General features: G+C 36.3%; 1 long non-coding RNA gene across 2 annotated transcripts; it reads left to right on the forward strand.

Moving 5' to 3' along the window:
- The first annotated feature begins 1,942 nt into the window (after window positions 1–1,942).
- LOC107986968 (uncharacterized) lies at window positions 1,943–17,324 on the forward strand. Of its 2 annotated transcripts, XR_001746037.2 has the most exons (6): window positions 1,943–2,069; window positions 5,993–6,107; window positions 7,776–7,866; window positions 8,630–8,777; window positions 10,476–10,511; window positions 15,928–17,324. It is a non-coding gene; the product is annotated as an uncharacterized LOC107986968 (long non-coding RNA). The 2 variants fall into 2 exon arrangements; XR_001746036.1 differs by lacking the exons at window positions 7,776–7,866; window positions 8,630–8,777; window positions 10,476–10,511; window positions 15,928–17,324 and adding an exon at window positions 7,240–7,496.
- The last annotated feature ends 25 nt before the right edge of the window (window positions 17,325–17,349 follow it).

The raw sequence follows: 17,349 nt of genomic DNA on the forward strand, positions 1-17,349 counted from the left end.
ACTTTCATGGCAATGGATTTTTAAAACATACAGAAACTATTTTTAGTTTTATATTTTAGAGCTAGAGCTGTAGTGTTCTAAAACCTAATACCAAATTTTGGCTAATCTTTTCATATGTCCTTTTTTTATTCAGTGCTTAGAAATAAATAACTTTAGTGATCATAATGTCCTTAAATGTAAAATAGTTAAGTTTAAAAAATTTCAAAATACCTTTTCCTATTGTAAATGAATTAACAATAGTTATTAGATTCCCCAGTGTTTTTTGTCAACACGCTTTTTTCTATGGGATTTAGAAAATACAATTAGTGATATTTTTCCTAATCCAGAATAAATTTTCTTTTTGCTTTGTATGCATTCTAGCCAGATGAGTGGGCAATTATTTTGAAGGTTGACAATCTGCTCCAAGTCTTAGAAAGCAGGCAAGTCCCCAAAGAAAGAAGGAAAAGACTTGAGATCTCAGCTTAGAGTTACGGAAATTACATGGACTTTAATGATAAAGAAACACTTACAGAAAAAAAAAAATAAACCTGGCTCTGCTATTTATTGATTTTGTAATCTTGGGCAAATTGTTTTTGGCTTTGCTTCCGTTTCTCAATTTTTTAAATGATGACAGTGGAGGGGAGGGGGAGATCACCTTCCAGAGATGTCCTGGCAATTAAATGACTTATTTTTATATTAAACATCTGATTTTGTGCCTGACTTTTCTTCTTCACATGCTTGCTTTCAAACTTACTGACCTTCTTTTTCCCCCTGAAACAAGTAAAGGAATAAAAAAGGTTTCCCTGACTTCTAAAAGTTATGAAATCTGTGGTGCCACAGACACATCCTGTTTCTGTGCAGCATGAGTTATTCAGCATTATTAGTAGACACATTGCTGCTTCCAGGCACAGGAGCATTTCTGAATGTGGTTCAATAGAAGTGCTTTTAGTAAAACACTTCATTAATTCCAGATACTCCACCACAGCATAGTGTTATCACTGAATTCTGTTGACCTAGTTAAGCCATCTCTAATTTTATTCCTGAAAGTCTATAATTAGGATGGTCTGAAATAGCCTGAAAATATTCAGCGCCAGCACTTGTCTCAAAAGGCAAGTAGCAAAACCTTCAATAAGGCCTTTTCTGAGATTTGTTCTTTTATGTCACTGGATTTGACAATCTTTCAGCATGGAGAGAGAGTGGGGGAAAGGGGAGGGTAGATTAGGAGGAAACCAGAGAGAAGAGGGAAAGGGAGGGGAGGAGAAGAGGCAGAAATAATAATCTGTCAGTTTTGTGAGTTTCATCAAATTGTTGACCAGGTCATTACTCAAATTCATTACTAGATATCTGAAATCCGTGAGTAAAGGTTGAGAGAATCATCCCTAATAAACATTCTCGTTTAAAAAATTATTTATTTTTATTTTTAATTTTGTGGGTACACAGTAGGTGTATATATTTCAACGAACGAACAGATCTTTACATCAACACGGCTTCTGCTTTTGTGATTGGGGCTTTTAAGAACACAATAATACCACTTTTCAGAAAAAGCTAGACATGAATGTAACAGTATTTTCCAACTCAAGTGTCCCTCTTATCCCCCTTCCTCCAGCAAAAGAGCTTCAGAAACGCAACACCTATCAAGTAGTTCCTCAGAAATGCCAGATTGCTGGGATTTTAGAGCCCTACTTTTTTTTCCTTTTTGACATTTAGACAGATTGAGTTTGAGAGAGGAAGTGACTCTGAGTCCAGACTGCCCCGCACCACTGTCAGAGGAAATAACTGAAGTAAAATGAAGTGATAATATACTGTAGAATATTTAACAGAGAGAAAGGCAGAGGAAAATGGCAATCTGGGAATATACAGCGAATCCCCAAAATAGACACAGGCTCCAGTGCCAGAACAAATGCCAAGTACAGTAGATCATAAAATGGTAAAACGACCTTGCCCTGTGGGCTCTGTGTTGACACAGGAAAAATGGCTCCCCAATAGCCGGCATAGCCGGGTCTTTATTCGCAGTTTCTGCTATCGTTTGTCAGGGACTCTGCCAACTTTCCTCTCTACTCTTTTCTGTATATTCATCAGTGAGAGAGCTGGTAAGTAACCACCTTAATGACTGCAGCATGTTGCAGTAGGATTAATGACAGATAAAGTACAACTCTGGGCTCTTATGTCACGTTGTGAATGAAATCAGAGGGTTCTGGGGAGGATATTAGCAAAGCTCCTTCCATTTTGTAGAAGACTCAAGGTGACTAGGGACATTTAGATTTCCCTCCCAAGGAAAGCTATGATAAATAGAGCGGTGAAGGAAAAATACACCCCCTTCTGTGCGCTTAATGAGTGACCTGCCACCTTCTGGGAAATGGGATAAGAATGCTGACGTGGTGTCTTAGCTTGATGCAAAGGTTGAAAAATTGACAAAACAAACCTTCGTCATTTGCTGAAAGCCACAGAGAGGAATGATGCTTGGAGCAGGGAAAACATCTTTTAAAAGAATACTGCTACCTCATATTCATGGTAGCATTGGAGAGATTTACATTCGAAGAAGGCCTGTTTGCCTTTTTTACTGTGTGGATAGAAGAGAGTAGTCGTTTTTCCTCACATTCCGGCAAAATTTCGTTTAATCTTTATACTAAGGCTTTCGGGTACGCAGGTGACTGCTGGCCAGCCATTGAGGCTGAGATCATCATCAACATTAAGAATTAAGAAGACTTCATCCTAGCTTGCTTGCTTTCTTTTTCTTTTTTCTTATCTTTTTTCCTTTCCTTCTTTTCTTCCTTCCATTCTTTCTATCTTTTTTTTTTCTTGGTTTCTTTCAACTTAAAGACAATCTTTAACATCTTGACAAAAGGAAAAACAAAAAGTAAATCAGCTTACAGAGAAAAGGTTTAGGTGGAGAAATAAATAGGAAAAAATATACAAAGAAAAGCCAACAGAAATCTGGTCAGGACAATTCCCTGGGATGAGTGTTAGGAGACGGTATGCATTTAGAAATACATGTATAAACTATGGAAAGTTTCCCACTAAAAAAATGATTACTTCTGGTTACTAAATGCAGAAAAACGAAGTGATTTTTAAACGCTGGCTGAAGTTTCTACCCACGTGTGAATCTATACAGCTTCAATAAAAAGCGGTTGTCATTTGTCAAAGATAAAGTTCCTGTGATTTGGGGTAGAAATTAAAACTGGAAAAATGGTTGTCCAGAGTTTCTATTCGAATTGTATGTAGTTTTTAGGCTAGAAGTTAGTTCAGTCTTGGTAAATAGGAACTTCCCATTTCAGAGAAAAAAAACTTCACTAAAATCCAAGAATATTTCTTTATAAAATAATTCTTATAAAAATTATTTGATAAGTTGTAACTAGTTTTCCTTCAGGTTCCAAAGGATTTAATTAAGGGAGAAATTAATTGGCAAATCAATTTTGACTTTTCTCTAATATAAAATGTTTTAAAAGTACTTCTATAGTTTACATAAACTAATATATTATTTGAATTATTTTTTAATAGGAGAACATATTGATACGCATTGAATGAATTTTTAGTATGGAAACTGAAACAAATGTTTTCATTAAAAAGAAATTAAGTGTATTAAAGAAAATTCATAAAAATATGGAAAAAATTTTTAAAAGGCTTCTCTACCATGTAAACATAACTGCTGTTAACATTTTAATGTGTATCCTCCAATTCTTGTTTCACAATGAATTCATTCTTTAAAATATTTTTAGTTGTAATTTTACTGCTTGCATAATTTATTAGTGATAATAATAATAGTTATGATTTATTCAGTACCTATAATGTACCAGGTATGCTATCTATTTTACATTTAATCACTAAATTAATTATGTAAAATAGGAGGGTAGAGAAACTGAGATTCAAACTTGCCAAAGAGGACACAGTAAGTGTTGTAGCTAAACTTGAACTCAGTTTTGCTTTTCTATGCTCATTCCACATCACTGTGCCTGTCTACCTAATGTAAGATATTTAAGCTTCAATATCTTACATAAATGACATTATAACTATAAGAATTTTCCACTTTGAGTAGGTACAAATATCCAAAAAATAGGGTTTCACACAAAACAGCACTATGATGAAACTGTGGTGGATAGTACACATTTGTGACAAAGTTTCAACTAAACCTCTAAGTTCAATTTAGCCTTTTTTTTTTTTGGCTAATAATAAGAATTGTGGTTCATGCCAGAGTATGCCCAGTGGTGAAAATATACATTATTTACTCTGAGACTTCTAAATTTATTGCTTATATGTGATAATATGTAAGATAAACTTATTTATCTTACATATTGGTATGACAAACTTATTTATCTTACATATTGGTATGATAAACTTATTTATCTTACATATTGGTATGATTTTCATTTCAATGGGGTCGTAAGATCTCATCATGGTATTCCCCTGTGCTATGTTCTTGAACGTTAATTATATGAAAGTAGAACAATTTTCCTATACAAAGGAAAAGGATGGGAAAGGAGAGGCTGTCTGACAGCTTCAATTATTTTGTGTTTCTATGATACACAGAGCACTATTTGAACCTGTAGCAATTTGCTGGCACCAAGAGTATCAAAAGCACATTCAGTGAATGAGAGGAAGGATAGCAATTCCTTCTATTAGACTGGCAATTGACCATCTGCTTCAGAGACTAGTGTTTAACCTGCAAGTAATCACGGTAAAATAGCTTGATGATGTGTCTCTGTCAGGCTTTTCATTTTTCCTGGGTAGGGGCAAGTTGGGATGGGAGTGGTTAAAAATGTAGACTTCTGGTTGGCCTCCCATTCTGTTGGAATCCTAGGTACATTCAATACCTTTGATCACCTTCTCCCAAGATCAATCAGAAGAAAGGTACCACATTCAGTATTCGGTTAAATAAAATCAAATTTAAGCTTCGTTCTCTAATATTTCTTTAGCAAGATACTTCTAGCATCAGATGAAATTTGCAGTTTGTTACTGGTGCTCTTCCATGTGTCTTAGAACCACCATCTGAGCACTACGACTGTTAATGCCAAAGGATTTATTTGAAAATTTTTATGTATATGTTATTTCAGTCTTTTTGGAAGTTATTCGGAGCTATTATTGGATATGTTAAATTATATGCACTTCTTAAAGAGGAGTATGCTTTTCATAATTAGATTTCTATCTTCTTATGCAGCTTAACATAAGGGAGCATGATACTATTAGATAACAAACGTCCAGGTGGCTGCAGCTAAAGCAGTAGGTTTGATATTTTAGACAGTAAATAATTGTGAAATAATTTTGTTTGAATGTCTTTTTGTTTTTAGTATTGGGAAATTTCTTTTTGACCCAACCTAAAAATTTGTCTTTTTACTGATAAATGGTTAGAAAAAAAAAGGAAGAGTGTATTCCCAGCAAGAGCAAAATTTATACACTAGAATTACACAGACTGATGCATTAACTTACAGCATCAGGAATAGTTAGTGCTTGGAATTACAATAGTTCCTTTTCGGGGCCTAGGTATTTCGGAACTTGAACAAATGGGGAATTTTAGAGGCACTGAAATATTTTATCCCTTTCCAAAATCCCCATCAAGTTTTGCTACCAACACAAGTGCTGTGATAGCTAATTTATACACTATTAATTAATTGTCATTTACTCATTTATTTAGCAAATATTTCTGAGTAACTTATTCTGTGCCAGGCACTATTCTAGGTTCTTGGGGATGCTTCACTGAGTGAAAACAAAACAAAACAAAAAATTCCCTGCCCTCATGGAGCTTACATGCTGGTGTGGCAAACAGGCAATAATCAGATAATTAATACATGTATAGCATAGTAGATACTGATAAATATCAAGAAAAAAGTGAATCAGGGAAGGGGGATTAAAAATGCTGAGAAGGGGGATACTAATATTTTAAGTATATTAGAATTGGAGCAAAGACCTGAAAAAGGAAGGGTATGAGTAATATAGCCATCTAAAGGACAATCACTCCAGACAAGTGCTGTCCAACAGACTGGCCATGAGTCTCATGTAAACACCACATTGGACAACACAGGTGTGAAAATTCTCCATCATCGCAGAAAGTTCTAATGGACAGTGCTGCTCCCAACAGAAAGAATGGCAAATACACAGGTCCTGAAGAGGCGGACAACAGAAGAAGTAACAAGGAGGTCAGTATACCTGTAACTGGGTACAAGTGGGAGAGGGAAATAGGAGACAGAAAGTCAATGAGGGGCCAGAGTATGTAGAATCTCTCGCAGGTCCTTCCTGGACTTCAAGATATTATTCTGAGCAAGATGGGAAGCCTTTGGAATGTGTTGAGTGGAAGGGTAATGTGCTGTACTTTGCACTGTGTCAAGGGCACTCTGACTGCTGTTTTGAGAATTAAGAGGCCAGAGCAGAAGTTAAAAAAACCATTGTGATCATCCAGGAAGAGGAAGAGCACTGTCCACCAGTAAAGAGCATAAACTGTGAGAAGTGGTAGATTCTAGATTGATACTGGAGTATGATAAAGGCAAATAACCCACCCAGGGATACTTATTACAATGTAGGTTCTAGACACCCACTCACAGAAATTATGATTTGGCAGAATTATTATGGTGCAGAAAAATCTACATTTTTTTTCTCCCATGAGAATTCTGATTCTCGTGCCCAACTCATTCCCCAACATATATTTGCCCTGCATCCTCTGAAAGCTTTGAAATACATTTGTTTGGTGGCTTGTTTAACATTAAATTTATAACTGGTGAACACTAGATGCTGGTGATGCAAGCAGTGTAGTCATCATTGGAGGTAGTAGAGACCCACCAAATGCCTCTTTAATATCATTGTGAAGAAATGAATCCTTGACGGAAGTTTTTGGTTTTGCTTTCTATTTTTTGTTGTTATTGTTGTTGTTTGGACGACATTTATACATTCCCTGGAATTAAGCTAAAAGGCACATAACGGATGCTTAAGCCAAGGTGAGATGCCATTTCCACTTTTTTAAAACAACATAGAAGCTACCATTTAGCACACACAGGTTATGAACACACATATCTTCTAATCTGAAATGTGTTATATTTTCTCTACCTGAATGATAAGAACCCATTCCATGATCTATTTTCTTTTTTCATGAAGAGTCCAATCTACCACTTTCCATGATATGATTTCCATATTCAGTATCAACAAGTAATTATAAAATGACAAACAAATATCCACATTTTTATATTGAGATTAAGGGAAATAGTTTTTTCAGATACAAGTAAGTCCAGATAAAAATTTCCGTTCTTTTTTCTTTCTTATTTTTCCTTCATTGCCTAGGAAGATAAGATGGAGTCAGACTTCAAGGAGGAAATTGGAGAAAATGCATTTAAGAGAAAGAAAAAATGAGGATCAATCAGGCTGAAGTGAATAGTTACAATTTGCCTACAGCCCGGCATAACTACTATCATGATCTAACTATGGGGAAAAATGTTTTAAAGTACAATTTTCACATAAATCAAGTAGCACATGAAGAGGAAAAATAAACCTAATATTGCCTTTAGGAGTATCCGCATATTAGTGAAGGACTATGTAAAGGTGTCTGAAATTTCTATTTCAATAAAACTTCTCTAAAAGTTTATTATTCATGAGTTGTTCTTTTGCTTCAAACAACACTCTAAATACACCTTAGAGAGAATAAACTCATTTTAATCGCAATCATTTTAATGTAAATTGATTGATCAGATCACTTTTCTTCTTGGCAAAATTCTGTTTTAAAGTATTTTAAAAGGCTTTAAAGTTTTTAGCATCAGACGCTTAAAAAGAAAGAGGTGGGAATGAAGACAATAACTTTTACCGTTTGTTTTTTTTTTAAGGGGCCAGTTCAGAGAGCAGCAAGAATCTGCATAGAAGTAATCATTTCTGGAAATCCAGATTACTTAGTGGCATCTGCTGAAACACAGATGAGTTGAGTGCACTGTTCACCAGTTCCTATTACTTTCCTTTGACTTGATCCATAGGACAGTAGCCAAGAGTATGACGATCAGTCATGGAGCCAATGGCATTGCTTCCTGAGATTCTGAGAATATGCCTTCTATCTTATTCATTCCTTCACCTTTGGCCAGACAATTTTATAATGGGAATGATGATGACAGGCAAACTTACAGACAGAAGAAAGGAAGTGTAGGGTGTGAGGGCAGGGAAACTTGGAGCATCTATTCTTCTATTTTTGGTCCCATAACTCCCCCAATATTATCCTTCGGCTTAGCCATCACTAGTTTTCATTCTGTCTGCCTACCCATAATATCCATTTTTCCCCTAATTGATTGTTCTCATTAAGAAGCCTGTGGAGTCTGGCTCATGGAAAAATATTTGAGGCTCTACTGTATTTCTCAGTGATGGAAAACATTCTTTTCATATATGTAAGAAATGTGAGAACTGGTCTTGGGTGAGACTTGGTATAAGAAGCCATACAAGCAAGAAGAAAAAAAAAAAATATTTCCCCTGAGGGAAAATGGTAGTTATATTACAGTGGTAGCAAAAGGAGATGACTACCAAGTAGGAACTTTTGCCAAGCCCACATGGGTATATAGATTAGCCATAATTAGCCGGGCGTGGTGGCTCACGCCTCTAATCCCAGCACTTTGGGAGGCCAAGGCGGGTGGATCACTTGAGGTCAGGAGTTTGAGATTAGCCATCATATACCCTATCTTGTGGCTTTGTGTTTCAGGTTAAAATACTTGTTATGAAGAGGGCCTGTACCAATGATTTTGATCTTTCATTAAAAAAGGAAATTTCAAGCTCTTAGAAACAAAGAAAAAATAAACGAGTGTTACAAGAATGTTTTAAGCATTCCGTAGATGGCTCAAGAATAGTATGTAAGTATTTCTCCACAAAGATATTCCACTGAAATTTTGGTAAGCAACAGTGGAAATAGGTTTAAACATTCCAGGTGACTCAAGTTCAATATAATGACAACACTAGTTAGAGTTTTCAAGCACTTTCTCCGATAAGCACTTTATATGCATTGTGTCATTTAACAATTGCATTGACTTTATGAAGTAGACATGATTATACCCATTTTCATAAAGAAGAAACTGAAGCACAAGGTCAAACAATGAGTAAAAAGCCAACTCAATACTGCAGTCCAACTTATAGAATTAAGTTGCCTTCTAGCTTGGATTCTGGGAGAGAGTTGATAAAGGGCACTATTAAATGACCATCACACATCTCTTCTAGTACCAGTGTGGCTATTCAATGGCTTAACCAGTTCTGGCACTGAAACGACTGGGCAAAAATCAGACCATTTGAGTTTAGTCCCTGTCCAGGTCTCAGAACCCACATTAATCTCCCCACTGTCACTACTCCACTGCCTAGAAAGACTCCTATCCTTTCTGGTATCCTCATATCAGAGAGGTTCTTATCATCCATGTTCTCACTTGGAATTCCTCACCATAGACCACAATCACTCTTGCTTTGCCACTGGAACTGTTCATTTATTTCTAACAGTTTCTACTATATCCTCCCAATGTTGGTGGAGGGATCTTTTTCCTTTGGCCTGAACTGGAACCTAGCTCTCCCTTCGAAATATTTTTTCCTGTGGTTTGTGTAGTTGGGACTCCTCTTTCTGCCAGAAGCCATAACCAGGATGTGTAGTTTAGCATTTTCCTGGGTCCCTATCACTACCTCCAGAGCTTATTCACCTCCCTGTGATGCTCATCATCCAGCTCTATCCCATCTCCCCCCTTCCTCCTTGCTTGTCATTGGCAAACTTCCAAATACTTTCCTTTAAGTGATTCTGAGACCCATATATCAAGTTTGTTTTTAAAATAAATGTATTGAAGCAAAAAAAAATTAAGTAAATGTAAAGAAGAACACATTTAATGAGATATAGAGCTATGGCAAAAGTAGTGAAGTCTGGAAAATCTTAACTTTACAATAAATAAATCCAAGATCATTGTAAGCATTGAAGAGCCTCTATTGCCTAGTTTATGCCTGCTCACGTCTGAAACATCACCCTCCGCCACTCCATTCTTCACCTTTTAAACCTTAGTCATGCAGAACTACATGTAGCTCTTTCTTACTTCCTGCAAACCATGCTCATACTCACTTTTCTTAGCCACCCCAATCCAAGATCAATTTATTTGGTTAGATCCTATCCTTGACTCAGTTCAGTGATTATTTCTTACAAAGCCCTTAGCCCCATCAGGTTAGAGGTGGCGATGGGAAGAGGAATTTAACTCCATAGCCATTTCCGTCATGTGTTCCTCGTGTGGTTTTACAACAATCTATTATATGCCTGTCTCCCCTACTAGACTGCGGGTTTCTTAAAAAGATGAACTATGGTGTAATTGTCTTTTTCCCCACTGCCCATGCATAGAGAAAGCTCTCCATTAATACTTGAGAAACGAATGGATACCACCAAAGTCTTTTGGGGAAAAGACTCACTCACAAATATCTTCCTTTTCATTATTCCCTGTATGCTCCTTTCATCATTTGCACAAGGTCCTAAATGTAATTTCAAAGTTGTAACTTTGCATTTCAGAGACAGAATTGATGTAATTTTTTTTTTCTAGATGCAGGGCTGCCTTTTACATTTAGGGCTGGACTGGGTGAGTATACACTTAAAAGTTTTGTTTGTGCACTCATGAAATTTTAAAGTGCCTCATTCAAAAAATCAAATACTCTTAAAATTCCTACCTCTTTCATTTTAAATAACACTCATGGTTGGTATCCCCTGAGTAAAATAAATAAAAAACCAGTATGTATCAGAGAGGACATTTAAATTTTTTAATTGAGCTGCTAACCTAATCAACTCCATCATCTGATATATGTCCTTTCCATTCTCATTTCCTGAAGCAAAGAATGAGGACTGTGCCTCGTTCCAAGAGGTGCATTATGTGAGTGCCGCTTAATCAGCACTTATAGGTTTTGTCTTCCAGTATGCTTTCCTTCATTCTCTTGACTCCACTTTGCCTTTATTCTCCCCATAATTTCCAGAATCTTTGTTAGGCTCCTACTTAGCACTCCAAACATAAAGGGGATATGTTTGGCCTTAAATAGGAAAAATTCTGTGATCTCAGAGGCATTTTCCATATGGACTCTTACAGAGGCAGACACTGGAATGCTTTCTTAGAAGACTCCAGAATGTTTCCAGAGAGACACAGGCATGCAAATTAAAACTTCGGCAAGTGCAGGGCTGATTTACTGTAGGCATTTGCCAGTGGCTTTACCAGAATATTTTGCAGTATAAATTGTAAACTTTTTTTTAATAGCAAGAACACAAGTAGGACATTATGAACCTTGTTGTTATATAGACAAGGAAGTGAGAAGAGAGGCAGATGGATAAGTTTTAACGTATGTTCATTTATGTCCAATATGTCTGCTTTCATTTCTTTTATTTTAAAAACTGGTTAGCAAAAGTAAGAGAAGAGAAAAGGTTTTCAACACAAGAAGAACACAATTCTGATGAAGAGGAGAAGAGTGTTATTTGAATGACGTTTTTTGGAGGGGGCAGTTCTGTAGAACGCTGTAACTGGCATCACCAGTGTAAAGAGAGGCACTTCTGCAGTCTTCTCACATTGCTTATTTTGAGGTTGGCATGTTTACCGTGTTTACAATGCACCGTAAAAAGACAGCACAGCATCACCGAATGCAAGAAAGCATTGCTCGCATTTCCCACTGGTAAAAAGTCTGCAGAAAGAGATTAAGAGAACAAGACCAGCAAAGAACCTAGAGAAGTTCAAGCAGGTGCTGACGTTTTAATGAAACTTAAATTTCCAGAGCTACAAGTCTCAGAGAAGTTAGCAAATTGTGTTATACAAAAAGATATAAATATAAATCATCACCTGTCAGTTCCAAGAATACAAATGAACAAAGAGTTGATCAGCAAGGAATTCTTTCCCCGCTATCCTCCAGCCTATCTCCTAATAACCCACAAACGTTAATTCTTTATACTCAAATTGGTTGCCTAAATAACTGTTTTCAAACAGCTATTTGAAATTTTACTACATAATTTGTTTATTATGCAAATGTGAATAACCCCCCAGTGATACTTTTTGACTAGCAACAATATAGAGAGTGCACAACTTTGCATATTGTAAATTCACATAAACATTTATATTTTTAAGAATCCAATGAATTAGAGAACCTGTGGGTAGATGACATTTTTAAAGTCAGAAAGAGTCATTTTATAGTTGAAATTAATTCTTGGAAACAATGTTTTTATTACTTGGTATTCTAGGCCCAGTTCTTTTAAATAAATAATTAGCACAGTAGAACAAATGTCCAGCAAAATTTTTAAATGTGTCATTAATGGGTTCAGTAGTATTCAAAATTTACTGAAATAGATCTCTTAAACATCCCGAGGGATACTATAAAATTATTAATTTGGCTTTTATTTGAGAAAAATCCAAGCTTTTTAAGCTATAGCTCTAATTTCAATTTGATTTTCTGAGCAAAAATATGTATAATTGGTAAATAAAATTTTAACAATATAATGTGGGAAAAATTATTTCTCAAAAAATATTTCACAGTTCAAGGTAAAAAGAAGTGCACTTAAAAAATGTACATATGACAAAATAAAAATCTATGCCTGTGCACTGTTGATCTCCAACTGAATTGGCATAGCATTTGTGAAGAATACTGCATGAGGGTAGAAGAGTGGATAAACATTAAGACCAAGGATCAATTCTTAATGCCGAAAAACTAATTGCTCGTACTTTTTAAATACTAGGAACAGCCTTCCTATAAACATTTTACGATAATACTCTACCTTAAATCACCTACCACTTTAAGCAACAGTACATCCTTCTAACACCTATCAGTTCATCTATTTTCTAAATCTCTATTGTGCTTTAATTCTTCTCTGCTTTTGGCTGATGGTACTTACAGCTGTTGATCATTAAGGTTACATCTGGCCTACAATGAAGTAGTCTTTGCAAAAAGAAAAATTATTTATGTTTCTTCTCATGTTCCAGTGGACATCAGCTAAAGCAAGTCCAGAAGCAGATAGCCAGTCCTGTCCATGCAGCTGGTTAGCAGCGTTACACACTGGCCTGGAAATCACTTTTTCTGTAGCTAATTTGAGTTTACAAACATCGGATAGGGAATATCATGTGCTGTCAACTAGATTCCTGAAGATTTACACATGTGGCAAAACTACTTGTCTGTATTAAAAAAACAAAAACAAAAAAACAAGTATAAACGTATACTGGGAATAAGAACCTTTCAAAATTTAGCTATGTAGGTGGTGGTAAATTCTGGTTGCCAGAATCTCCTTAGATTAATATCAGGGTGATATTCTCCACAATTGACAATAGACAGTGAGTGGGACAGGGTGTTAAAATATCAGTGAAGTAACCCAACGTATGCAAATTGAAACAGGGGCTTTTTTTTTTTCCTTAAATAAACTAAAGAATCATTGGAAATCCTGAATCCAGGTGGAAAAAAAACCCTCCATCTCTATCAAGAATTGCTTCCTCAGATGACATCATCATTTATTTACATATAAGTCCATGAAAGTCTACTGGCACAGTAGAATTCAAACAATTAGTATACCTGCAGTCTTGACTTGTCATGACATAAAGTAGTAGTCTTTCTTCATTTCATGCCGTCATCAGCTCAGCTACCCAACAATTGTCCAAAGCAGTAGAGAGAGCAAATTAAAGTGAATCTACTCCTTGGCATTTGCCAGATAAGCCACAAATTAAATATCCTCTTAAAACAAAAAAGGATTTCAAGTCTCAGAAGAGAAATCAGTGCTGGTTGATAAATATTTCCACTTTAAGTTATATTTATTTCATAAAATCTTTTATTTGGCATTGTGTAAATGGTCAGCAATCTTTCCCTCATATTTGATTCCTCTTTAAAACCACAATAGCATGATTTAGCTATTACATGGCCTGTGATAGCAACAGTTGAAAAGTAAACTAAGGGAAATATTTAAGAGGCAATGATCGGAACATCGCATCGTGCACCTTAAATATACATGATTTTTATTTAAAACAACAAAAATTAATGAATGAAGGTAAACATACATAAAAAGCCAAGGCAGTGATAAACTTTGAAACGACTAACTCGTCTCTGAAAGAATGGAGAGAAACTAGAAAGATGTAAGAACAAAACATAGAGCTTAATTCCTAAAATAGTTTTTAAAAATCAGATCCTTTGGAGGAATAAAAACATCTTTAGGGTAGAGCTAAGAACCTGTGACAGTAACATGTCTTAGGCTGTGACATCAGTATTCTTAGCAGAGTTGGCTGCTCAGGTCTTTGAGCAGAAAGCTCCGACTTGGATACAGTAAGCATTAACCAATGCAGAAGTAACTGACTTAGGATATGGCATTACTCAAAAGTGGGTCATTTTAAAAAATTCTTAATACTTATTACAGACACAAGACATGTTTCTCTAGTGTAGGCATGTTAACTCTTGGTGTGCTGGACAAATTCCAGTTTGGACACCGTATTTTAAAAGCAATAGAAAAATCTGGAACTCCATTTCATGTAGGAAAGCATATGGCTTGAAAGTAAATATAGTTTAAACATATGAAGCATATTAAATTAATTATTATAATTTAAGTGATTTGAAAAATGTCTGCAGTTTTTATGACATATGCTTTTAATGATTCACATTACCTGTAGGCACTTCAAAAGCACTGGGATTCCGATTCTCTTCAGTAATTAGGGGGTCAAATGATATGCCGAGTACATTAGAGAACAGAGCCCAGTGAAAATGGGCCATGTGCCAAAATCATACCCTTCAAGACAGATGGGAACCAAGCCTCGGAATGGTCTGTAATTGTACCATTTTTGAAAGCCACACTTTAATGCTATGAGGACATGTAGAGGCTATATCTGAAGAATGTATACAATATTTGTACCCGAAGTTAAACAAAACGTAAATCTTTGTCTGTGGGTTGTCCCCAACTTAGAGACCTCATCAGAGGTACTACCCCTGTACTACTATCCATCAGAGGTGCTTTTATTTCCTACAACATCTGAACATCCTAACCAGAACCAGACAGCATGATCACTCATTCATTTATTCATCCCACAAACATCTACTGAGCACCTACAAAAAATATATGTTCTAGGCAATGCTTTAGGTACTGAGGAGCTTTGGTAAAGAGGAGAGAAGTTCATTGTCCTCTTGTATTTTATATCCCTTAGCAGGGGCAGACAGTTGAAAAAATATAGAACTAAATAACTCCAAATAGGGAAGGAAAAAAAATCACAAAAGGAAACTGGTAGAGAGAGGCTGATACAGGAGATATGAACTTCTTTAGCTTGGGTCATGCACAGAAGCCACACACACAGAAGCAGGGGATATTGCTGAGACACAGGAGTAAAAAGATGGCCACATACACACACACACACACACACACACACACACACAGAAGCAGGGGACACTTTGCTGAGACTCAGGAATGAAAAGGTGGCGATGGTGTTTTTTCTCTTGGAGGAACTGCCAGTTTATAGGCCTTGAGCTGGAGAAGACATGCTCAAGCAAGAGAGAGGCGTGGTGGTTGGAGCTGAGCATGTGGAGAGACAAGTGAAAAAAAATGAAGTTGACAGTTTGGCAAAGTGAGATCATGTAGAGCTATTTAGACCACAGTAGGGAGTTTGTATTATAGTCAACCTAAAATAATAGTAATAACCACAATTAGCTAATAACAAGAGGGAAGGGAACACATTGGGTGCTTACTATGTGCTAGGCAATGCTTTAAGCAACACAGATAACCTCATCTATTTCCTATCACCATCCCCATTTTATAAATGGGAAAGTCAAGCACAGAGAAATAAAGAAACTTTACCAAAGTTAGCCAGCTAGTAAGAAAGAGACATTTGCTGATAAGTATGATAATTCTTAAATTGGAAAAATTCCACACACTCATATGATAATTCTTAATCCTTCAATTATCTCATGCCCTCAAATAGGTGTTTCATGCCATCTCTATGCAAGTCATTGTATTTTGCACAGCTAGAATGTTGTCTGTTGTTTTTGTTTACATGGCTTCATGTCTTTTAGGACATGGTACGTAGGAAATTGCATGGTGAAGTGGTACAAGCATCAGGCTCAAGAATGAGAGTCCAGTTTGACAGACCAGATGAAGAAGTGATTAAGACCATAGTTCTGGACTTAGACAAGCCTGGCTTTGTGACTTTGGACAAATTATTTGATAACTGTAAGTGTATTTATCACTAAAAGGCAGATAATAATATTATGTCATACAGATGCTCATCCATTGATTCAACAAATATTAATTGAGTGTCTTCCATGTGCCAGGTACCTTTCTCCTCTATAAAATGGAACAGAAAACAAACAAAAAAATATATATGTATTTTGAGACAAAGTATTGCTCTGTTGCCCAGGCTGGAGTGCAGTGGCACGAGCTCGGCTCACTCCAACCTGCACTTCCAGTTCAAGCAATTCTCCTCCCTCAGCTTCCCGAGTAGCTGGGATTACAAGTGTGCACCACCACACCTAGCTAATTTTTTTGTATTTTAGTAGAAACGGGTCTTCACCATGTTGCCCAGACTGGTCTCAAAGTCCTGAGCTCAGGCATTTCACCCATCTCAGCCTTCTAAAGTGCTAGGATTACAGGTGTGAGCCACTACACCCAGCAAAAAATATCTGCCTCTATGTACCTTACATTCTATTTGGACAGGCAAAGCTCAGACAAGATTAATATATGTTAAAATGTACAGCAAAACATATAGTATTTTAGATAGTGTTAAGTGCAGTGGAGAAAAAAAAACAAAACAATAAGGGTGGCGAGAAGAATCAGGATGGAGAAAATAACTTCATTTTAGATGTGGAGTCCAGGATAGGCTTCACTGACGAGGTTGATCTGAGGAAATATCTGTAAGAAAAAAAGAAGCAAAAAGACCCAAGGCAGACTGAGTTGTGAGCAGACCTGTTGTATTGGAGGAGGCTGTGGAATGAGTGAAGGAGCCTATTTGGAGATGGAGTCAGAGAAGTAAGAGGGATGATGATACAGGATTTAAGAAGTCACCATGGAATACTATGCAGCCATAAAAAAGTATGAGTTCATGACCTTTGTAGGGACATGGATGAAGCTGGAAACCATCATTCTGAGCAAACTATCGCAAGGACAGAAAACCAAACACCGCATGTTCTCACTCATAAGTGGGAATTGAACAATGAGAACACTGGGACACAGGGTAGGGAACATCATGCACCAGGGCCTGTCATGGGGTGGGGGGAGGGGGAGGGATAGCATTAGGAGAAATACCTAATGTAATTGATGAGTTAATGGGTGCAGCACACCAACATGGCACATGTATACATATGTAACAAACCTGCACACTGTGCACATGTACCCTAGAACTTAAAATATAATAAAAAATAAATAAATAAAAATAAATTTCTCATAATAAAGCAAAAAAAAGAAGTCAAAGAAATAGTTGTGGTTTTTTATTCTGAGTG

This window comes from Homo sapiens, chromosome 8, assembly GCF_000001405.40.
Source record: "Homo sapiens chromosome 8, GRCh38.p14 Primary Assembly".
Lineage (NCBI taxonomy): Eukaryota > Metazoa > Chordata > Mammalia > Primates > Hominidae > Homo > Homo sapiens.